General features: G+C 42.0%; 1 protein-coding gene and 1 pseudogene across 5 annotated transcripts in view, besides 5 other annotated features; one reads left to right on the top strand and one right to left on the bottom strand.

Moving 5' to 3' along the window:
- The window catches only part of LPIN2 (lipin 2), a 96,151-nt gene that overhangs the window by 2,822 nt on the left and 69,287 nt on the right, over positions 1-24,042 (top strand). The window lies entirely within an intron of this gene.
- Positions 5,926-6,443: an enhancer, noted in NCBI's record as "OCT4-NANOG hESC enhancer chr18:3003878-3004395 (GRCh37/hg19 assembly coordinates)". NCBI's record gives its function as "activates a minimal SCP1, AML or CMV promoter by ChIP-STARR-seq in naive and primed H9 embryonic stem cells {active_cell/tissue: H9 hESC(naive and primed)}" and the evidence as "EXISTENCE:reporter gene assay evidence [ECO:0000049][PMID:30033119]".
- Positions 10,455-11,377: an enhancer, noted in NCBI's record as "H3K27ac-H3K4me1 hESC enhancer chr18:2998944-2999866 (GRCh37/hg19 assembly coordinates)". NCBI's record gives its function as "activates a minimal SCP1, AML or CMV promoter by ChIP-STARR-seq in naive H9 embryonic stem cells {active_cell/tissue: H9 hESC(naive)}" and the evidence as "EXISTENCE:reporter gene assay evidence [ECO:0000049][PMID:30033119]".
- Positions 11,492-11,591: an enhancer, noted in NCBI's record as "active region_13035". NCBI's record gives its function as "activates an Ori minimal core promoter by ATAC-STARR-seq in GM12878 lymphoblastoid cells {active_cell/tissue: GM12878}" and the evidence as "EXISTENCE:reporter gene assay evidence [ECO:0000049][PMID:35858748]".
- Positions 11,859-12,008: an enhancer, noted in NCBI's record as "active region_13034". NCBI's record gives its function as "activates an Ori minimal core promoter by ATAC-STARR-seq in GM12878 lymphoblastoid cells {active_cell/tissue: GM12878}" and the evidence as "EXISTENCE:reporter gene assay evidence [ECO:0000049][PMID:35858748]".
- Positions 12,079-12,178: an enhancer, noted in NCBI's record as "active region_13033". NCBI's record gives its function as "activates an Ori minimal core promoter by ATAC-STARR-seq in GM12878 lymphoblastoid cells {active_cell/tissue: GM12878}" and the evidence as "EXISTENCE:reporter gene assay evidence [ECO:0000049][PMID:35858748]".
- On the bottom strand, positions 19,013-19,673 carry SNRPCP4 (small nuclear ribonucleoprotein polypeptide C pseudogene 4; annotated as a pseudogene).

Genomic DNA, 24,042 nt, shown 5'->3' with positions numbered 1-24,042 from the left:
GTAAGTTTTATGGCTATACCTTGGTAATAAGACATTTGAATAACTTGGCTTAGCGGCTTTGGTAATTAACTGTGATTTTTGGAATCCACCTCCCCTGCTGTCAGCTTGAATCTTCATTTTAGTAACACACTATTACTAACACTAAACGCTTATTACATGTGTGTTTCAAGACAAGCGTGAGGGAGTTGCTCACCCTGGGGTCCAAATGAAGCAGTCAGTGGCAACCCATGTGTAGTGGGGAATGGCCAGAATCCTGCCGGGGCCACTTGGTGGGCTGCCTTGCTCTTGATTTTCAGCAGGAAGCTGGTGGAAGCTGGGGTTGGGCATCTGTCTCTGCTCAACTTCTCAGTCAGAAAGGAAGGAGAAGAAAAAAAAATCTGTTGGGAGGTAAACTGTGTTTTAATACAAGATAAAACTCTTAATGTCACTTTCAGGATTAAAATGATGATAAAGTAAACATTTTTACTAATTTGATTCACTGACTGCAATTCAGTCTTTTTCTGCTAAAGCCTTTGAATGTTGTATTTCGGTGATCAGGTTTGTCAGTTTATGTTAAAATTGTTAACAAGAAATGAGGAAGAAGGCTGGGTGCGGTGGTTCACGCCTGTAATCCCAGCACTTTGGGAGGCCGAGGCGGGCGGATCACCTGAGGTCAGGAATTCGAGACCAGCCTGGCCAACGTGGTGAAACCCTGTCTCTACTAAAAATACAAAAGAATTAGCCAGGTGTGGTTATGCATGCCTGTAGACCCAGCTACTCTGGAGGCTGAGGCAGGAGAATCATTTGAACCTGGGAGGCAGAAGTTGCAGTGAGCCGAGATTGTGTCACTGCACTCCAGCCTGGGTGACAGAGCGAGACTCTGTCTCAAAAAACAAACAAACAAAAAATGGTACTTATTTTTATAATCTTTGAATTTAGAATTTTACTAGTGTTTTTTTGTTTGTAACCCAGGCTGGAGTGCAGTGTCATGATCTCGGCTGACTGCAACCTCCGCCTCCCAGGTTCAAGCAATTCTCCTGCCTCAGCCTCCTGAGTAGCTGGGACTACAGGCACGTGCCACCACACCTGGCTAATTTTTTGTATTTTTAGGAGAGACAGGGTTTCACTGTGTTAGCCAGAATAGTGTTGATCTCCTGACCTCGTGATCCTCCTGCCTTGGCCTCCCAAAGTGCTGGGATTACAGACGTGAGCCACCGCGCCTGGCCGAAACAATTCTTTTGAAAGAGAGAAGTCTCCCTGTGTTGCGCAGGCTGGTCTCAGACTCCTGGGGTCAAGTGAGCCTCCTGCTTTCGCCTCCTAAAGTGCTGGGATTACAGGCGTGAGCCACCGCACCCGGACAGATGTGTTGATTTTAAAGTGGGTATGAGGCCTGAGCCCTGGAGTTTGAGACCAGCCTGGACAACATGGCAAGACCCTGTCTCTCCAAAAAAAAAAAAAAAAAAACACAGCTGTGGTAGTGCGGGCACCTGTGTGATCCCAGCTGCTCAGGAGGCTAAGGTCAGAGGATGGCTTCAGCCAAGGAGTTGAGGCTGCAGTGAGCCATGTTCACGCCACTGCTGGATGACACAGTAGAACCCTGAGTCTGAATAAATAAATACATGAGTAAGTGGGAAGGAGGGAAGGAAGGAAGGATCTAGGTTTAAAAATTATTTGGCTTTGGTGGTTATGACTAAGCTGTATTAGATGAAGGGAGGAGCTAAAGATGGGGAAAGCATCCTTCGGAAACTTTAAAGTTGGAACTGGTAATTTTACTCCGCAAAAAATATATGGTACAAAGTAACTTTGTTAGTGACAGATTGAATTTCTGCATTTACCTATTTCTGAAATAAAATGAAAGGGATAAATGACCTTAGAATATTGATTTAAACTTCTATTTTATTTGAGACAAGGTCTCACTTGGTCACCCAGGCTGGAGTGCAGTGGTGCAATCTCGGCTCACTGCAGCCTCCGCTTCTAGGGCTCAAGCGATCCTCCCACCTCGGACTCCCGAGTAGCTGGGACCACAGGGAGGTGCCACCGTGCCCAGCTAATTTTTGTACTTTTCTGTAGGACAAGGTATCATCATGTTGCCCAGGCTGGTCTCGAACTCCTGGACTCAAGTGATCCACCCACCTTGGCCTCCGAAAGTGTTGGGATTACAGGTGTGAGCCACTGTGCCCAGCCTAAGCATCCGTTTTTAAATTTAAAATAAGATGGTCTCTTTTTATAAAAGGAATCATAATTATAAACAAAAAGTTCATTGGTTAGTATGGGATTGCAGTTTGCCTAGAAGACGTTTTATATACCCCTGACTAAACAGTAGAATTGTATGCTGACCAAGATCGTCCTCATCTATTCAGTGCATTATGATATGACATTTATGGTTCCTGGCAAGATAGGTATGTTCAGCTGCACTGGAGACATGGCTTTAAACTTATTCGGAAAGGGAGGTGTCCAGAATGCAAACAGCTCTTAAAAAGTATTTGGAAATAATTTATTCAATATAAGGTCATCTGATCATTTGATTATATGTTTTGAATTGCCCTCCGGTATGTGCCAGCAAAACCATCAGATCGTTAATATGAATTAGAAGCTCTGATTTGGAGCTGCTTGAATTGTTATGGATATTTTTCCTCACAGTTGAGTCTATAAACTTGTGGTGTTTGTAAAACAATGTGCTTTTCTTATGAGCCAACATAAGTTAAGGAATGTTTGGGCTTAGTTGAAGCATTATAGGGGATATAATATATCTTTTGTTTGTTTTAGGAGGCTGTGTTATTTTTTTCTTTGTAAACACTGAGAGACGTCTGTCCACATATTACATTTCTTTAAACTCTTTTAACAGTATTTTTTAAAATTAATAATAGGTACCTGGATAGGTGTGGTGGCTTACGCCTGTAATCCCAGCACTTTGGGAGGCCCAGGCGGGCGGATCACGAGGTCAGGAGATCGAGACCATCCTGGCTAACACAGTGAAACCCCGTCTCTACTAAAAATACAAAAAATTAGCCAGACGTGGTGGGGGGCACCTGTAGTCCCAGCTACTCTGGAGGCTGAGGCAGGGGAATGGCATGAACCTGGGAGGCGGAGCTTGCAGTGAGCCAAGATAGCACCACTGCACTACAGCCCTGGGCGACAGAGCAAGACTCCATCTCAAAAAAGATAAATAAAAATAAATAACTAACTAAATATAATAGGTACCTATTTGACATAGCTGTAATGTCAATTTACATATGAACTATTCGAGAATAAGAGTTATTTAGAGAAATACTACTTGAGAGAGAGATAAAGCTTTGTTTTTGTTATTTAAAATGTTAAACAAATGCTGTTTTTTTTTTTTTAAAGAGACAAGGTCTCACTTTGTCACTGAGGCTGGAGTGCAGTGGGGCTATCTCAGCTCACTGCAGCCTTGACCTCCCCAGCCCAAGCAATCCTCCTACCTCAGCCTCCCCAGTAGCTGGGACTACAGGCCTGCGCCACCATGCTTGGCTACTTTTTTTTTTTTTTGAGACAGAGTCTCGTTCTGTCGCCCAGGCTGGAGTGCAGCGGCGCGATCTCTGCTCACTGCAAGCTCCGCCTCCCGGGTTCATGCCATTCTCCTGCCTCAGCCTCCTGAGTAGCTGGGACTACAGGCTCCCGCCACCACGCCTGGCTAATTTTTTGTATTTTTAGTAGAGACGGGGTTTCACCGTGTTAGCCAGGGTGGTCTCGATCTCCTGATCTTGTGACCTCCCTGCCTCGGCCTCCCAAAGTGTTGGGATTACAGGCTTGAGCCGCTGCGCCCGGCCCATGCTTGGCTAATTTTTGTATTTTTTTGTAGAGACCAGGCTTCACTATGTTGCCCAGGCTGGTCTCGAACTCCTGGGCTCAAGTGATCTGCCAGCTGTCCTGGGATTACAGGTGTGAGCCACTGTGCCCGGTCAACAAATGCTTTGTAAGAAAGGACTGATCTTCTGTTGCAGGATTTTCTAACTGGCTTAGCTGTTAAAAATAACTTACCTAGGTAGCATTATTTGAAATATAGAAATTTGGCATTTTGGGGTCTTTAATATCTAGTCTATCCACTGACATTCTTAGTCTGTTGTAAAGTGGTGCTGATGCCTTCTACTTAGGAACACTAGGTATTTCGAGGAGGTGTTTAATATTTGTAAAAGATTATCATTATTACAGTTATCTTATTGAACAACTTCTTTAGGCATTTTGCTAAGTTTTTTACGTAAAGTATCTCTCTTAAGTCACAACCACTGTACAAAGTACAGATAATAATGCTGTTTTCTAGGTGAGAACCCTGAAGCTGAAAGAGATTTGCCAGAGGCCACAGCCATGTGGTAGCGATGACCTGCCTCCCCACATTGCCTTGTTCCTATGCTGCCCCACTGCCCAAGGACTCTGACAGTTCCTGTGCATTGCTTTATCATCCCTAAGTCAATTTTAGCGTTTTGTTTTTACTTCATTATGATTATTGTTGTTCATTGTTATTTATAGCGATGAGGTCTTGCTGTGTTGCCCAGGTTGGTCTCAAACTTCTGGGCCCAAGCAGTCTTCCCGTTTCTACCTCCCAAAGTGCTGGGATTGCTGAGTTGGGCCACCACACCTGGCCGTTGTTGTTACGTTTATTAGGTAGAACTGGATAAGCTGTGTGTGTGTGTGTGTGTGTGTGTGTGTGTAAGATAGTGTCTTGCTCTGTTGTCCAGGCTGGAGTACAGTGGCACGATTTCAGCTCACTGCAGCCTGGACCTGCTGGGATCAAGCAATCCTCTTGCCTGTGCCTCCTGAGTAGCTGGGACCACAGGCATGTGCCACCATCCCCGGTTAATTTTGGTTTTAATAGACATAAGGGTCTTGCTATATCAGCTGAGGAAGATCTGAAACTTCTGGGCTCAAGCGATCCTCCCACCTCAGCCTCCCAAAGTGCTGAGGGGGTTACAGGCATGAGCCACTGTGCCCTGCCGAGACACTTTTCTTTTCTTTTTCTTTTTCTTTTTTTTTTTTGAGACGGAGTCTTGCTCTGTCACCCAGGCAGGAGTGCAGTGATGCACGATCTTGGCTCGCTGCAGCCTCTACCTCCTGGGTTTAAACGATTCTCCTGCCTTGGCTTCCCTAGTAGCTGGGATTACAGGCACCTGCCACCAAACGCTGCTAATTTTTGTATTTTTAGTAGAGACAGGGTTTCACCATGTTGGCCAGGCTGGTCTCAAACTCCTGACCTCAAGTGATCCACCGACCTTGGCCTCCCAAAGTGCTGGGATTACAAGTATGAGCCACCGCACCTGGCTGAAGCTTTTCTTTATAGATGTCAGCATCTATAAATTGGTAACAGAGAGATAGCACCTACTTTATAGGAGTGTGGGTTTCTCTGGGTTATTTATGTTTTCAAAGGCAATTGTGTCAAGGAGAGAAATACCAGCCGGGAAGATGGGGAGGTGATGTGGCCCTACCATGCCTACTTGGTGCACTTTGGAATGAGTTGGACAAGGTAAACCTGATGTTCTTTGGCCTGTGTTTCACAGCATGAGCATATCGCTGGGCTGAGACTGGATGGAATGTCTAAGCTGTATTTCTCATACAACATGATCCCTAAAACAACCTAAATATTGCTCTCGGGCTCATCCTGATAGGAAGGTGACTAAAGGTGTTGGGGAGGAGGAAATGGGCTCAGTGGGACTATGTGAGACGTGGTATGTCAGTATCCAACATGGTGCCTTCTTCAAGGATTTTCCCTCGTAATTTTGACGGTTCCTGATTTGAGTAAGTGTACACTGTGACTCCTGGGTTACATGGCACTGGACTGTGAGTAGAAGGATCCTTAAGTTAAACAGTTTCAGAGCTGAATAGAGCTTCCAGTCTTTTATTCTGTTCAGTATCGGGGGAACCAGCCCCCAATATTTTAATATAGGTTCTTTCTGTTTTCCCTAAGTGTTGGCCGGTCTGAGAAATAGACAGAGTACAAAGAGAGGAATTTCACAGCTGGGCCTCTGGGGGTGACATCACATATTGGTAGGACCGTAATGATGACCCCGAGCCCCAAACCAGCAAGTTTTTATTAGGGATTTTAAAAGGGGAGGGGGTGTATGAACAGGGAGTAGGTCACAAGGATCCCATGCTTCAAAGGGCAATAAGATCACAAGGCAAAGGCAAAATTAGAATTACTGATGAGGGTCTATGTCCTGCTGTGCACATATTGTCTTGATAAACATCTTAACAGGAAACAGGGTTCAAGAGCAGAGAACCAGTCTGACTAGAATTTACCAGGCTGGAATTTCCCAATCCTAGTAAGCCTGAGGGTACTGTAGGAGACCAGGGCGTATTTCAGTCCTTATCTCAACTGCATAAGACAATCCCAGAGCGGCCGTTAATAGACCTCCCCCCAGGAATGCATTCCTTCCACACGGTATCAATTATTAATATTCCTTGCTGGGAAAAGAATTCAGCGATATCTCTCCTACTTACACGTTCATTTATAGGCTCTCTGCAAGAAGAAAAATATGGCTGTATTCTGCCCGACCCCGCAGGCAGTCAGACCTTATGGTTATCTTCCATTGTTCCCTGAAAATTGCTGTTATTCTGTTCTTTTCAGGGTACAGTGATTTCATATTGTTCAAACACACGTTTTACAATCAGTTTGTACAGTAGTGGTCCTGAGGTGACGTACATTCTCAGCTTATGAAGATAACGTGATTAAGAGATTAAAGTAAAAACAGACATAAGAAATTATAAGATGATTATTAGGGAAGTGACAAAAGTCCATGAAATCTTCACAATTTATGTTCAGAGACTGCAGTAAAGACAGGCTTAAGAAGTTATAAAGGTATTAATTTTGGGAACTGATAAATGTCCATGAAATCTTCACAATTTATGTTCTTCTGCCTCGGCTCCTGCTGGTCCCTCTGTTTAGGGTCCCTGACTTCCTGCAACAGTTCAGAAATCCAGGTCCCATCACATTGTTGGTAGCCAGTGGAAACCCCTAATACAAGTGAGTATCTGAATTCTTTTTGAGCAGATCTGTCTTTTGAACTAGTGCTTTCTTCACTGTATCATTTGACTCACTTGGTAACTACATCTGCAGATGAGCTCCCCGCTAATGGAGTTTTAGTGGTGCTTTACTTAGTGTAATTGAATAAATGAATGATACATCAGCTCTGATGAAGAACCTTTCATTAAATAGAAATATACTCATAGACCTTTGGGAATTCCCAAATTCATGAATATACTTTTGATGTATCATTTACTCAGTTGTCTCTTTTGTAATAGGGAGATAACAATACCTACTTGACAGGCTGGTTCTGAGGATTAAATGAGGTCATATGTTAAACTGGAGCCCGCATCCACCTCTAGGTCTTACTAGGCCAGAGAAGCCAGTGTTGAGAGAGTCATAGGACAAAGGGCGAAAGGTGAATGAATGAACATTCCTCTTGTCCCGAAGTAGCTGATAGTGTCATAGAGGAATCAAGTAGGTCTGCTTCTGCGTAAAGCAGGGTTTTATGAATCAGGGACAGGGAGGGACTTAGAAGGGAGTACTGCTTGAGCGATTGTGGGAAAGTCTGAGGAACTGTCTTGGAGTTAGCTCTGGGCTTATATTTTTAATGTGAGAATTTACTGTTTAGTTAAAAGCTTGTTTTTATCTCAAAGAAAAACATTGTTTAATGTGTTTGCTTAGAATTTCTTTCTTGACCCAGAAAGAAATTTCTTTATTCTCATAGTGCCAAAGTTAGAAATCTTGTATACAAATGTTATGCACAACATGTGTTTATAAATGTAATCCTTAAGATTTTTCCATCATTTCATCTATGGCTGCATGAATTTTGTTAATGTGTGGGCCTGTAGGAGGGACCTTATCTTTGTGTTTAGAATGGGACGTCTAGAAAGCACAGTTGTCTATACCTAGTGTATTGCAGGTGAGCGTTTGACTAAAATTTAAAAATCTGCTGATTAGTTCATAAGGCCTCTAATGTTTTTCTATAAGCTTGAATAATTGATTTTCATTAGAATGGACACTAATTTTCTTAGCTTATAAAACTACATGAAATGTTATTCTCTGCCAGTTGAAAAACGTAGGTACTGGTATACCTATGTTGTTATGGTGGGTTTTTTTTTTTTTTTTTTTTTTGGTCTTTTGAAGGTCATCCTTTTAAATGCTGGCTGAATCTTTCAGTGCTATCCTTGTCATCAAATGGAAATGGACCTTCCCCCTGTAAGTGTGGTATCTTCATGACAGTCAAGAAATAGGACTTTTGTTTTAGGACATCTCCCTGTCCCAAGTGAATTAACTAGATAACTTTGTTGTATTTAAATTTCCTGGTTTGTTTGTTTTGTCTTACTAATGAGACATACCTACAGGTCAGATGGACCATAGGTGCTGATCCTGAGAGTTGGAAAGGAACTTTTCCTAATTAAAAGCAAAACAAAAAAAGCCTTACAATGCTTATATTTGCTTGGTGTTCCTATTTTCCTTCCCTTAAGTAGTTTTCATTTCTGTAAATGTGATTCTTATTCATTAGGCTATATCACATAATAGTTCTATTTATCTTTTAAAATCTTAAGTATTTATTTTTATATGTAATTTAAACATTTAAGTACATAGTACTGTGAGGTTTATTATGAAAAACCCCAGTTCTCTTTCTCACAGCTGATTACTGCTCCCTAGCAAAAGCCCCTTTCATTTCTTTTCTGTGCTTGTGGGATTTGATTCCATGCTTGTATGCATACACTACTGTAGCTTGTTTTTTTCATTTTAGACCTTCTCTATTGATTTCCTACGCTGCAAGATGAAGGTTCATCTCTTATATAACCCTCCTCTCACACGCACAATTCTTTATACTAAGCTCTCAATACCATTTTCTAATTTTCTTAATATTCATTGTTTATATTTTCATGGCTAAATATTGCTTACAGCTGAGCATATGCAGTGATTTTTATTTCTTTGCCAGTTCAAATTTTTCTTTTCTCTGGAGTCAACAATTATTTTATTGGTTTACATTTCTTAGTACCAGTCACAAATTCAGGCCCCCAGTTTCTGATAGGACTACAGAACTCTGCAGTCAACACCTCACTCATCCTGAATCCCAGTAATTTTCTGTGTTGGATTCTGAGTCCTGGATTACACATTGTCTTCTCTCTTGGCATGCCTCCTCATTTTGATGGAGCACATCCTCTAGCAGCTTTTTGAGAAAGGGTTTACAGGGAGGAAATTCTTTGAGAGCTTACGTGTCTGAAAATGTCTTTATTTGAGCCTCCTACCCAACTGATAGGCTAGCTATAGAATGCTAGAATGGAAATAGTTTTCCTTTAGAATTGTTACTTTTGAGAAGTTACCTTTTTTTGAGAAGTCTCAAGTCTTTTTAATTTCTCTCTCTCTCCCTCCCTCTCCCCCCTCTTTTTCCCCATTTTCCTATCCTTTCCCCCCTACCCATTTTTTTTAGCACCTTTCTTTGTTTCTTTTTAAAGTATCTCATTACCATCTCTTGATGAAGCACCTTGGTTTGGGATTTGCCATCTCAGTTTTTGGACGAGACACAGTCTCTTAGGAGGGAACACGGGAAGTACCCACCTTACCTGGCTTCACAGTGAATCCTTACCCCTGGCCTTGTTTCGTTACTTAGACCTGGCTAGCAGGCCCTATGTCACCAGAGTCTCCGCAGGCCAGAGGGCATAAAAACACCCAGAGACTGTAGTGGGTATTTATCAATCCTGGTGAGGCCTCTCCCCACAGGTAGAATCATCTGTAGCTGTGTACACTCATGATGTTGGGGAAGTAGCTGGCACTACGTGCCGTACATCTGATGGAGGGCATGGTGTGTATCCTGCTTTGTGTAGTCGTGCCCATATGGTGATTTTGGAATCCTTTGTGTAGCCTTTAACGTTGTCTATTATTAGCATGTTTCTGTCGTGACTGCCATAGGTGGAGCCCACAACAGTGCAGGTGTTTCTTTATCCTTTGAGCTGGGCACCTGGTGGGAACTTTCAATTTGGAAAATCATGTTTCTGACGCCAGGAAATTTCTTGTATGATTTATTTGATAATATCCAACTCCTGCCTTTCCCTACCTTTTTTTCCTCTCCTGTTTCTGTACTTTAAAAAGTCTACAAGTCAGATATTGGGGCCATTTTGGATTGATGCTCTGATATTCATCTTTTTCCTCCTTTTGCCCATTCCTTTATCCTTGTTGGATTTACTGGGAGATCTGCTTTCTACATTTTCTCCTTCTCCTCCTCCTCCTCCTCCTCCTTCTTCCCCTCCTTCCCCTCTTTCCCCTCTTCCTCCTTCTCCTCTTCCTCCTCCTCCTCCTCTTCTTCTTTTTAAAAGAAAAAAAAAAACAAAACAGAGATAGGGTCTCACTAATGTTGCCCAAGTTGGTCTTGAACTTCCAGCCTTAAGTGATCCTCCCACCTCAGCCTCCTGAAGTGCTGGGATTACAGGTGAGACCCACCGTGCCTGGCTATTTTTTAATTTTTGTAGAGACAGGGTCTTGCTGTGTTTCCCAGGCTGGTATTTATTCTCCAACCCTTCTATAGAATGTCTTAATTTTACAATTGTGTGTTAATTTCCAAGAGCGCTTTCTCATTCTTGGATGTTTATTTTTATTAGCGTCCTCTCCTAGCTGCTGGTGGGTTGCTGGCAGCCTTTGGCGTTCCTTGGCTTGCAGATGCATCACCCCAATCTCTGCCTTTATATTCACATGGCGTTCTTCTGTGTGCATGTCTGTCTCTCTGTCCAGATTTCCTCTTTTTTTTTTTTCTTTTTGAGACGGAGTTTCTCTCTGTCACCCAGGCTGGAGTGCAGTGGCGTGATCTTGGCTCACTGCAAGCTCCGCCTCCCGGGCCATGCCATTCTCCTGCCTCAGCCTCCTGAGTAGCTGGGACTACAGGCGCCTGCAACCGCGCCCGGCTAATTTTTTTTTTTTTTTGTATTTTTAGTAGAGACGGGGTTTCACCATGTTAGCCAGAATGGTCTCGATCTCCTGACCTCGTGATCCGCCCGCTTTGGCCTCCCAGAGTGCTGGGATTACAGGCGTGGGCCACGGCGCCTGGACCAGATTTCCTCTTTTTATAAGGACATCAGTCCTACTGGATTAGGGCCAGCCTTAATGACCTCGTTTTAACTTGAATACCTCTGTAAAGATCCCCTTTCCAAATAAGGTCACATTCTGAGCTACCAGAGGTTAGGAGTTCAGCGTTTCTTTTTTGGAGGATATACTTCAACCCAAACAGTGGGTTTTGAGAGTGGGGATAACACATGTGACATCCTCTGGGTTTAACAGGATGTCTAGTTAGAGCAATATTTTTAAAGATGCTTTTAGTTACACCTATCTTCACTAATGATCAGAAAGAAACTCTTAGGAAGTAATTTTTAGATTACAACTGGAGATTTTTGTTCAGACTTGTGACTGCCAAAATTTCTGCATGTTCCTGAATGTTTAATGACAGTATCTGAGTTGTCTCATTTTCACTCTTGGTTTGTTTCTAAAGTCATTTGAAGGTTGGCAAAATGACTAAAGAAAGAACAGCAGTAGTGTCTTATGAGAAAGTAAACCGTATCTATATCCTGGCATAGTTTCGTGAACATGTTAGCCAGGTTCTCATCATGCTCTGTCCCTCCATGTTATACTCTATTTCTTTTTTCAGATATGAGCCTTCTTGGAGCTTTGTTGCTTAAAAAAAAATCTGTCATGTATTTTCCTGTTCTGGGCTCTACAACGCTTTTCTTTCCTTAAAAGTGGCTCTTCCTGCTCTTCCTCCCTCTCTTCAGGGAGCAGCACCCTCTTTTATTTCCTTTATAATAGTTGTCCCAGCCTAACATATGTTGTTGTTGTTGTTTTCTCCCTCCCCACATTAGAATATAACCACTACAAGGGCAGGTACCTTGTCAGCCAAGTTCACTGCTTGATCCCCAGCTCTCAGAATAGAATAGACACTGCTGTTGAGCAGATCAGTGAGTGAAAGAGGCCTTGTTTTCTGACTTTCAAGTGCTGTTTCGCTGACTTGCTGTTGCTCTTGGAAGTCCTTCTCTCTTGTTGAAGTAGCTTAGTATGCAAGTCAGCTTGTGATAACACACTGGTGCAGCCTTACTTGGCATTTGTTTTGCAAAACTACTTAAAAATAGCCTAAATCTGAGTGATTGGTGGCATTGATTGCAGCAGTGCTGTTGGTATGGCCACAGCCTTTCCCTTTACCCAAGTGTCCTCCCAGAGCCAGGAAAGGGAGGTACCTCTCCTTACGTTTCTGAAGATTCCATTGTGGTCCCAGTGGGCACCATGCAGAATTTAATAAAGCAGGGCATGAAACTTGAGCTGTGTTTTGATTGACATTGGGAAAGACTCCTCTGCAGAACACAGGCACAGGGTGCCTGGAGCTGCCTGGCACTGGAAACTCTGCCTCACGGTCACCATGTTCTGTTTAACTGAGACAAGGAGACACTTCAGGCACTTCCAAAGGAAACAGTAGGGAAGTAGTGAATTCATGCTTACCGATCTAGCAGACTTCCCTCTGGGAAGCTGGGGGACTGCATCCTTGAGAGCTAAAAGCAAGAAATTGGAGATGTTTGAAAAACTAAGTCTGTGGCATGGGGGGTAAGGAATCCTCCTGCTACTTCTGTGACATCAGCTAAGTAAGCTGATGAATTGGTGACTTTTTGTTTCTTTTTGAGTTATACTGCTTTTAGTAATTATGGAAGAGCCTGCTCTCCCCCCACAGGAGTCATTAAACAATGATTGATGCCATATGTAAGGTTTGTGAATTGTTTATGCAGCAGAAGTCACCTTTTGATCAGAATTGGGGCACTGTCTTGGTTTCATTGTGGCACACTGCAGAGTTATAGGCATAGTGGCCTGGTACTCTGATGATGTCTTGAAAGTGACTGCTATAGCTTTGACTTCATTAATGTTCCTTTGAATTTGTTATGTTTAGAAAAATACAAGCCTCTGCCAGGTGCAGTGGCTCATGCTTGTAATCCCAGCACTTTGGGAGGCTGAGGAGGGTGGATCACATGAGGTCAGGAGTTCAAGACCAGCCTGGCCAACAGAGTAAAACCCCATCTCTACTAAAAAAAAACAAAAAACAAAAATGAGTCCAGGCACAGTGGCTCAAGCCTGTAATCCCAGTACTTTGGGACACCAAGGCCGGCGGATCACCTGAGGTCAGGAGTTTGAGACCAGCCTAGCCAACATGGCAAAACCCCGTTTCTACTAAAAATACAAAAATTAGCCAGGCGTGGGGGTGGGTACCTGTAATCCTAGCTACTCGGGAGGCTGAAGCAGGAGAATTGCTTGAATCCGGGAGGTGGAGGTTGCAATGAGCCGAGATCACGCCACCGCACTCCAGCCTGGGTGAGGGAGTGAGACTCTGTCTCAAAAGAAAAAGAAAAATACAAGCCTCCAAAAATGAAATGTACATATTTATGATGTGTTGATTCTGGCACCTCTTATGCAGAAGTTTACCATTAGCAAATATAGCAAACTTGGTGCCATTGGCAAGGCCTTTGTAGAACCAAATGATGCTTTATTTGGAGATGGTGGGATGTGGGTCTGTTATTCTGGGATATATATGATACTCAATAGATAGATAAAGATATTGGTCGAGCGTGGTGGCTCACGCCTGTAATCCCAGCACTTTGGAAGGCCGAGGTGGGTGGATCATGACGTCAGGAGATCGAGACCATCCTGGCTAACACGGTGAAACCCCGTCTCTACTAAAAATACAAAAAATTAGCCAGGCGTGATGGTGGGCACCTGTAGTCCCAGCTACTCGGGAGGCTGAGGCAGGAGAATGGCATGAACCTGGGAGCCGGAGCTTGCAGTGAGCTGAGATGGCGCCACTGCACTCCAGCCTGGGTGACAGAGAGAGACTCTGTCTCAAAAAAAAAAAAAAAAAAAAAAAAAAAAGATATTTTCCTGGGAGGTAAGCATGTAGTCATATCTTTTCTGCAACGTCACCATGCCTGTTGAAATGGAGAGGTTGGATGATGTAATTGATGGACATTATAAAAGAACCAATGTAACACTTTTATTTTTGGGATGAAGTCTTGCACTGTCACCAGGCTGGACTGCAGTGGTGCGATCTCGGCTCACTGCAACCTCCCACTCCCGGGTTCAAGCTATTCTCCTGCCTCAGCCTCCCGAGTAGCTGGGATTACAGGCATGCACCACCACGCTCAGCTAATTTTTTGTATTGTTAGTAGAGATGGGGTTTCACTGTGTTGACCACGATGGTCTCAATCTCCTGACCTCATGATCCGCCCGCCTCGGCCTCCCAAAATGCTGGGATTATAGGTGTGAGCCACAGCGCCCGGCCGTAACATTTTATTAATAAGTCTTAAGTTTGTCCATAGAGCTAATTACCTCTAATTCTTCAGTTTTGTCCTCCGTTATACACATGTAATAAGGAAGCTTGGTACCCTGCTTAAAAAATGTGACTGTGAAGGAATATGACCAGAAACTTACACAATGAAATGTACTTTGCACTTTAGGGACAGCATATACATTTCATCTATGCTGTCATTCTGGAAAACATTTTGAAACACCCCTTCCTTTTTAAATTGCTTTCAGAGTCTCACAGTGTATCCTTTTATCCCCAGCGGTGGAAAATCTTTACCCTTCAAGGTAGATTAGGTTTTTGGAAATAGCCAGAAGCCATTCAAAGCAACATCTGATGAACCACGCATGTCAGATGAATCATATTTACTTTTGGAGTATAAGAGTTCTGTGACTATGTGGTATTGACACTCATTTTTATCCTGTGTGGCACCTAAATTAAATTTAAAGATAGTTCTTTCAGGAAGAAAGGGGAGCCCTCATGTCATGTTACACAGTGGTGTATCAGTGGAATTAATTTATTGTAGCCTTCAGAGGTGATTGATTTAAAAGACAATATTCATACTAGAGTGTAGATGTGACTAAACAGTTTTACACCAAAACTTGGAAGAAGAGAAGACACTGGGGACAAATAGGCTGAAGAGTGGGGTTCAGTTGGATGAGTCTTAAGGCATAGGGAAATGGTTTGGGAAGTTAAAACATGCAAAGAGCTGATGATTGAAGCATTTAGATTTAGAAAGTCATTTGTTTTCCTTTCCAGTGTCCCTCATTATTAAATAGCTCCTTGATGGCTAGAATCCTATCCTAACAGTCATCTGCTAAGCACTTACTGTGGCATAGGTCTTGGAACTATTCAGTTCATAGTTCTTTTTTAATGAGAAGAAAAAAGAAAACTAGCATTTATTAAGCAGCTGGTGGTTTCCAGGCACCACCTCATGGGATCCTCACAGCAGTCCTACCTGACAGGTGCTCTGAACCCTGCTATATGAAGGGGGCCTGTGAAGCTTAGGTTGACCTGAAACTGAAGAAGGTTCCATCCTGGAGGTCTGTATCAAGTGGGAGAGCTGTGGTATAAAACTCCCTGTCTAAATTCAGCCAAGTCATGTGCTTGCCGGCCCACCCCTAACATGTTTGTGGGGACCCAGTCAGAACAGGCTTATCAATACAGGGCCATATACCATCTGTTTAAACCAGTGGTTCTCAGCTGCAGACAATTTTGCCCACACACCGCCCCCACCCGCCGCCGGGGACATTCAGAAATAACCGGAGACATTTTTTTGGCTGTCACCACTGGGGAGGGTGCTACTGGCATCTGGTGGTTGGAGGCCAGGGCTGCTACACTCCTCACCTCCCAAGCAAAGAATTATCTGACCAAAAATGTCAATAGGCTGAGAAAACCTGTATCTAAACTATTAAAAGCTGTAAATCCAAAGAAAAGATAAATGTTCGAGGGGATGGATATCCCATTTACCCTGATTTGAGCATTACACATTGTATACATGTATAAAATATTATTATATGTCCTCCCCAACTATGATATATCATTAAAAAATTTTTTTAAAGCTATAAATCCAGTCACCACCCCCATGGCCCGGCCTCCATGGCCACCAGTGGCCCTGCAGAAGCCTTGTCCTTTGCCAGCTGCCCTAGGGAGCCTGACCATAGGTCTGCTGCACACATCTACACTGACCAGGGCACAGGTCTGGGGCAGCTTGGCTTGTGATAACCACCTGTTCCTTTAGCTAAATTGTCTTCAAAAAACTTTCCTAGAGGTCTGAAATGAAGAAGAAAAACACTTACTGCCTTTGTATTTTGGGTTTATGATACACAGAGCCTTCTAAAGTGCAGGACCCAGGACTAAAGGCAGTATTGGTACCTGAGATATTACAGGCACTGGGCAAGTTCTTGAATGATAGGCGTACATTTATGTACAGTCTGTACTGCTTCATTTTAAGGGCTGTTACTGTGTGGTGTAAGGCTAGATTGAGCATGTTTTAACTACTTTGGCTGGGAAGTAATTGACTTTTTCAATACCTGTATGCTCTCATCTTTCAAATAGCAGTGTGGTTTAGAACCAGAGGTTTTTTACTTGGGGTCTGCAGACTAACCATAGAGGGGTTCCATCGGATCCTCAGAGCACAAATCTGTGTATGGTTGTGTCGGTATACATGTATGCTGCTGGTTTGCATGTTTTCTGTAAAGAGGGTATATTGCAAAGCTTAGTTGGGTTCTCAGAAATGAGAATGGCACAAACTACTCATGGGCTATATATATTCTCTAGGGTTACTTCTAGATGTTTAGAAGCTAAGATTAGGAATTTGTGTTGAGATCAGAAGTGGATTTGTTGTGGTCCAGTGTAATTTTTGACTGAAGGAAGAAGCTCTCTGTTGTGTGTAGGTATACATAAAATGAAAGTTACACGTTAACTTTTTGTTGAAGTTATTGCTGTGGAATCACCAAGCTCGTGGTAAAAACTAAGTTGTGGGAAATACTTTGCTTTCTACTTAGTAGAGTTGAATGCTCAGAAAGCCATAGTTTTCGAAATGTCAGATTGTTTTACCTAGAAGGATACATAGAAATTATCTAGAAATTCACTTTTTGGGTGAGGAAATTGAGGGTTAATGATATTCAGTGAGTTGTTCAAATAACCTAGGAAGTTTGTAACAGTATAGGAATAGAAGATGATATTTATAGCCAAGAACAAATATATTCTCATTTTAAACTATGGACTGTATTGACATTGCTTTACATTTCAATTAGAGTTTTATTGCATAATTTTAATTCCTATTTTTCTTCTCCTACCTTTTTTCTTTCTTCTTTCTTCTTCTTTCTTCTTTGTTCCTTTCTCCTTTCTTCTTTTTTCCTTCTTCCTTTCTTCTTTCTTTTTTCTTCCTCCGTCAGGGTCTCGCTCTGTTTCCCAGGCTGGAGCGCAGTGGTGCAATCATGGCTTACTGCACACTCAAGCTCCTGAGCTCAAGCCATCCTCCCACCTCAGCCTCTGAGTACTACAGATGTACACCACCACACCTGGCTAATATTTAAATTTTTTTTTTTTTTTTTTTTTGAGACGGGTCTCACTGGCTGGAGTGCAGTGGTGCTATCTCAGCTCACTGCAAGCTCCGCCTTCCAGGTTCACGCCATTCTCCTGCCTCAGCCTCCCGAGTAGCTGGGACTACAGGCGCCCGCCACCAGGCCTGGCTAATTTTTTTTTGTATTTTTAGTAGAGACATGGTTTCACTGTGTTAGCCAGGACGGTCTCCATCTCCTGACCTCATGATCTGCCCGCCTCGACCTCCCAAAGTGCTGGGATTACAGGCATGAGCCACCGCACCCGGCCTAAAGATTTTTTATAGAGATGAGATCTCACTACTGTATTGCCCAGGCTGGTCTTGAACTCCTGGAACTCAAGATCTGCCCACCTTGGCCTCCCAAAGTGTTGGGATTACAGGTGTGAGCCACTGTGCCTGGCCCCATTGCATAATTTTCTAATTGTAGTAAGATTCAACCATTTTTGAATGTATGATTTCATGGTATTAACTACCATTTACTATGTTGTACAACCATCACTGCTATTTCCAAAATTTTTCATGACTCTAAACTCTGTAACCATTAAGCAATAACTCTCCATTTCCTCCACCTGGTAACCTCTAATCTACCTTTTATTTATGAATTTGCCTATTCTAGATATTTCACATAATTGGAATCATATGACATTTGTCCTTTTGTGTCAGGCTTATTTCCTTTAGCATGTTTTCAGGGTTCGTCCATGTTGTGGCATGTATCAGAACTTCACTTGTTTTCATGACTGAATGATATTCCATTGTATGAATATAACACATTTTGTTTCTCCATCTGTTGATGGACAGTTGTGTTGTTTCCACATTTTGGCTGTTGTGAATAATGCTGCCGTGAACACTGGTATACAAATGTCTGTTTTCAGTTCTTTTGTGTATGTACCTGGGAGTGAAATTGCTGGATTATATGGCAATTCTATATTTATTTTTTATTGTATTATACTTTTTTTTTTTTTTGAGATGGAGTCTCACTCTGTCGCCCAGGCTAGAGTGCAGTGGCGCTATCTCAGCTCACTGCAACCTCTGCCTCCTGTGTTCGGCAGTTCTCTACCTCAGCCTCCCAAGTAGCTGGGATTACAGGTGCACGCCACCACGCCCAGCTAATTTTTGTATTTTTAGTAGAGATGGGGTTTCGCCATCTTGGCCAGGCTGATCTTGAATTCCTGACCTCATGATCCACCCACCTCCCCCTCCCAAAGTGCTGAGATTATAGGCGTGAGCCACTGTGCCCGGCCTTATTATTATTATTTTTTGAGACAGGCCCTCATTCTGGTGCTCAGGTTGGAGTGTAGTGACATGGTCTCGGCTCACTGCAGCCTCGACCTCTTAGGCTCAAGCAGTCCTCCCACCTCAGCCTTCTCAGGAGCTGTGATTATAGGTGTACAACACCACACCTGGCTCATTTTGTTTATGTTTTGTAGAAACAGGGTCTCACTATGTTGCCTACACTGGTCTCTAACTCCTGGGCTCACATGATCCTCCCACCTTAGTCCGCCCCAGTGTGAGCCACTGTGCCGAGCCTGGTAATTCCATATTTAGCTTTTGAGAAACGACCAAACTTGTTTTCTACAGTGGTTACACCATTTGACATTCTCACCAACAGTGCACAAGTGTTTCAGTTTCTCCAGTTTTCTTTCTAACATATATTTTCCTTTTTTAAAAAAAGTTGACAATTTTATTTTCATATTTCACAATATAGATAAAAACTGCACTTTTTTTGTCCCACTTCTCCACTCCAAAATGATTCTTTCTTTAATAGGAAGGGGGAGCACCTTTTCTGTATCAGACTGATAAGAAAACACCCAGAGTCACAGCATTGTGATCTCCTGGTGAAGCAGAGCAAGCAATATAAAACTGATATAGGGAGGCCTCCCCTCTATCCTTTCTGTCTGCTCGAGTCATTCTGGGCCAAGTGGGCACCATCATGGGACAAGCAAGAGGTCTCATCATTGGGGGCCCAGGCATCATTGGCATGTGGCCTCCCATGGGCAGCCTCATTCCAGGAGCAGGTCCCACTGGCATCATCCCAGGAGGAGGGCCCCGTGTGGGGTGCTGGCATCATACCAGGATGAGGAGGACCCAGAAGACTGGAGGGAGGTAGTATCATTGTCCCTGCCGGCGGGGAACAGAGATTGAAGTAGGAAGTATCTTTCCTTGTTGAAGTGCAACCCTTATTTTGTCAGTCAGGCTCTGAGCCTGTTCTTCCATCCATTTCTAATAGTAATCTTTGACATTCTGTCTCTGTTTCCTACCACTGCAATATGTCTTTCTCATAAATGGAGAGTCATGGATGAGGTGTGTGTTGCAGTAGTCACGGCCATTGGCCACTCTCTTCCTTTTTAACAGAAACTATAGCCATCGTAGTGGGTATGAATTGGTATCTCATTGTGGTTTTGATTTGCCTTTCCCGGATGGTTAATGATGTTGAGCATCTTTTCAAGTATTTATTTGCCATTTTGTATATCTTCTTTGAAGAAGGGTTTATCTAGATCCTTTGCCCATATTTTAATTGAATCATTTGTCTTTTAGTTGTTGTAGGAATTTTTAAATATATTCTAGAGTTAAACTCCCCAATTTGCAAATATTTTCTTACATTCTGTATGATTCTTTTTCTTGATCATGTCCTTTGATACAAAAAAAAGTACTTTTAGTGAAATCCAATTTATCTAGTTTTTGTTACTCATGCTTTTGGTGTTATATCTGAGAATCATTTGCCAAATCCAAGATCATGAAGATTTACCCTATGTTTTCTTCTAAGAGTTTTATGGTTTTAGGTCATTAATCCATTTTGAGTTAATTTTTTAATATGGTGTAAAGTAGGGTTCCAACTTCATTCTTTTGCATATAGAAACTTAGTTGTGTCAGCACCATCCGTTGAGACTATTCCTTCCGCCATGCAGTGGATTTGGTACTCTTGTCAAATATCAATTGGCCATAAATGTTTGGGTTTATTTCTGGACTCTCAAGTCTATTCCATTGGTCTGTATGTCTGTTTTATGCCAGTACTACAATGTTTTGATTACTGTAATTTTTTTTTTTTTTTTTGAGACAGAGTCTCACTCTGTCACCCAGGCTGGAGTGCAGTGGTGCAATCTCAGCTCACTGCAGCTTCCACCTCCTGGGTTCAAGTGATTCTCCTGCCTCAGCCTCCCGAGTGGCTGGGACCACAGGAGCCTGCCACACACCTGCCTAATTTCTGTATTTTTTGTAGAGGCGGGGTTTCACTGTGTTGGCCAAGCTGGTCTCGAACTCCTGACCTCAAGTGTTCTGCCCGCATTGGCCTCCCAAAGTGATGGGATTACAGGCGTCAGCTACTGCACCCAGCCTGATTACTGTAACTTTGAAAGTTTTGAAATCAAGAAATGGAAGTCTTCCAACTTAGCTCTTTTTCAGTATTATTTTGGCTAGTCAGGGCCCCTTGTAACTCCATATGAATTTGAGGCTTTTGGAATTTTGATAGGGATTGCCTTGAATTTGAAGATCGCTTTAGGTAATATTGGCATCTTAACAATATTGAGTCTTCCTATTCACGAACACGGATGTCTTTCTATTTACTGAGGTTATCTTTAATTTTTTTTTTCAGTGATTTTTGCAATTTTATTTGTACAAGCTTTCACCTCCTTGGTTAAATTTATTCCTAGGCATTTTTTTTCTTTTAGATGCATTGCATAATGTTTGAGATTTTAGAAATACTTAGCATAGTAAATCTGAATTTCAGCTTAAATAATGAGTCTAAGAAGGTACTGTGGAAGACATCTTGAGCTCTAGCTGGTTTGTCCTTGGATATTTAACATAACCTCTCTCTAAACCTCCATTTCTTCATCTGTAAAATATAGGGATAAAGCAAATCTGTCTTTCATGAGAATTGTGTAGATCAGAGATAATATATGCAAAGGATTAATTCCAGGGTATGGCTTAGAGTAAATACTAAATAAATAGTGCTTGGCTGCCAGGATTGTGTTTTCTTCTATGATTTCAATATAAATACCTATGTTGTACTTGAAGTATACTTTTTCAAATTGAATACAATTAATTTGTTGCAAAGGCTGAAGATTTTTACACAAACTAAATGCCCTGTTCCTGAGAGAGCTTTTTTATATTAAAGTATGTTGAGTCTGGAAGAAAAATAAAATGAAATGTCACACTTGTTCTGTTTCAATGGTGCTTTATCCTTAGAAGAGGGAGCATTTCTTCTCATGTTGCAACTTTCAGATGCCTCTTTGCTTTTTGAATCCTATCTGTGTCTTGACATTACAAGGTTAAATCTTAGACATTACCAGCATTTAACTTGAAAGAGTAGCAAAGCTGACTAACTTTTCCCCTTTTCTTTTACTACTTAGTGCATTGAGGCTTTACCCTCACTGGAGATTGCAATTACCGTCACCATCTGGAATTGGATTCATCTGTATGTGTAGAATATAACTTACATATAAAGCTGAGTATCAGTGTTTCAGGTTTTCTCTTTTTCTTACACATCTCAGTCAAGCTTTAGATTGAAGTAGGCAGATTCACTGAGTGTAATAATTTAAGAATTCAGTTACTTTCATTTTAATTTAAATTTCACCAATTAAATAAAATTCTTCATAACACTTAAGTATAGCATTAGAATTTCTAAACATTGTGAAACTAAATTCTTTATTCTCATAGCAAAGTATATTAGTCATTTTTGCCGTTTCTCCTGAAGAGCATAAATGAGCCTGCATTCAAGAATATGGAATGTTGTACATTCTGATGGGGAAATAGAGTGGCAGAATATAGTCAGGTTGAGGAGCATGGAAGTTTGAAAAAGAACCAGAAATTTGGAGAGAGAGCTGACCACAGAAACAAAGGAGGGTTGCCAGATTCTGTTGGGGACCCATTTAAGGCTACAGATAAGTAATTTATACTGTTACCCATCTGGCCTGCTGGCAGCACTCATGATGATTCTTTTTTTTTTTTTTTTTTTTTTTTTTGAGACAGTCTCTCACTCTGTCGCCCAGGCTGGAGAACAGTGGTATGATCTTGGCTCACTGCAACCTCCGCCTCAGCCTCCTGAGTAGCTGGGATTACAGGCGTGAGCCACCACACTCAGCTAATTCTTGTATTTTTAGTAGAGATGAGGTTTCACTGTGTTGGCCAGGCTGGTCTTGAACTCCTGACCTCAAGTGATCCACCCTCCTGGATTCTAAGTACACTTAAAATTACAGCAGCCGTTCGTTTCTATAGATGGAAGAAGGTGGCAGGAAGAAGAGTAATTACTAAGAGTAATTTACTAAGTAAAGCTGATTACAAATATCTTTTAAATAAAAAATTTTTAAGTAATTGAAAGAGATCACAGCAACAGAATAATTTAAACAACCATCACCAGTTTTTCAGGTGGTCGAGAAAATCTTGAATTAGAACTGTTGTGAGGAACCAGCTATGGAAGAGAAAATTGGAGTCAAAGATGGACCTGAAATGTCCACGTGGAAAAAAATAAGTCAAGGAATGTGAGGATGAGGGGTTCCTACATGATGCCGATACATTTTGTGATAATTTTCACTTATATTTTCTTTGGATTGTCTTAATGATATAATCAACTCTTGCTCACCTTATTTGTTGTTTGTTGCTGTTTTTGGGGGACAAGCTTTAAGCTATCTCACTTTTTGATCTGGAGTATAGGAACCCAGCACTGGCTTCTTCCAGCACCTTCACTTGGCCTCAGTGTTGTGATGCACTGAGCCACCCCTGTTATTGTGAGTCTATAACAAGTAATTTGTTTCTGAAAAGATTAAAGCACTACACTTTGAAAATTATTTAGTGTTTTAAAATTTGATGATAGTAAGACTTGCATTTCAACAGGATTTTTTGAGTTTGAATGAAATGGGGGTGATATAACCCCAGAACAGAAAATCGTATACCTAAGGGTGTCATCACTGTGCAAACTGCTATTCAGAGGTGAAATGGGAGAAGAAAAAGACATTTAAACAGAAACAATTAGGCAATTAACAGGCCCCCTCTTCACCCCCGACCTCCACCCCTGTCAAGCAACTGAGGCCTCAGGAGTCCTGCCTGAGCAGAACAGAGGGTTTTCCATTTCTTTTGGCTTTATTTTGTTGAAAATGTTGTCCAAAAGTTGTGACACAAGTCAGGCCATAATTACTCTGATCCTAAATTAGGCTGTTCAGCTTTACTCTCTTAATGTTCAGATGCACTTGACTGCTACAGCCAGGCAACTCTCAGTATTGTCTCTCTTGTCTCCAAATAGTGGGTAAAAGCTTGACCTCAAACATTTGTGTTGGAAGGGTTAGACCGCAGAGGTTGTTTGGTCCTAAGCTCCTTAAACTGCGATGTGTACACTGAGCATCCTCTAATTCTTACAGTAAATGTGTTGCATTAACCTTTGAACTTGGAAGAAGAAAGCTTTGGCCAGTTAGTCTTTCTTTTTTTTTTTTTTTTACATTAAAAAAATAGACTTATCACAATAGACTACAAAATGTGTGAATTTTAAAGATAAATGACAAGTCTTCAAAGAAGTTTATCTTTGGGAGAGTCACTTTAAGCTGGGCGTCTGACCTCAGGAGACCCTCCCTTGTTTTTTCTCTTCTGTTCCTGGAAAGATCTGTTTGCATTTGGTTATTCACTCACAGTTCAGTGAAATTGCCAGCCACTAGCTATCTTGTTTAGAATTTTGAGATTATATGAGGATATTATGAAACACTGGAA

This window comes from Homo sapiens, chromosome 18 (assembly GCF_000001405.40).
Source record: "Homo sapiens chromosome 18, GRCh38.p14 Primary Assembly".
NCBI classification, from domain to species: domain Eukaryota; kingdom Metazoa; phylum Chordata; class Mammalia; order Primates; family Hominidae; genus Homo; species Homo sapiens.
The sequence above is the reverse complement of the archived record's forward strand: the minus strand, read 5'-3'. Positions and strand labels throughout refer to the sequence as shown.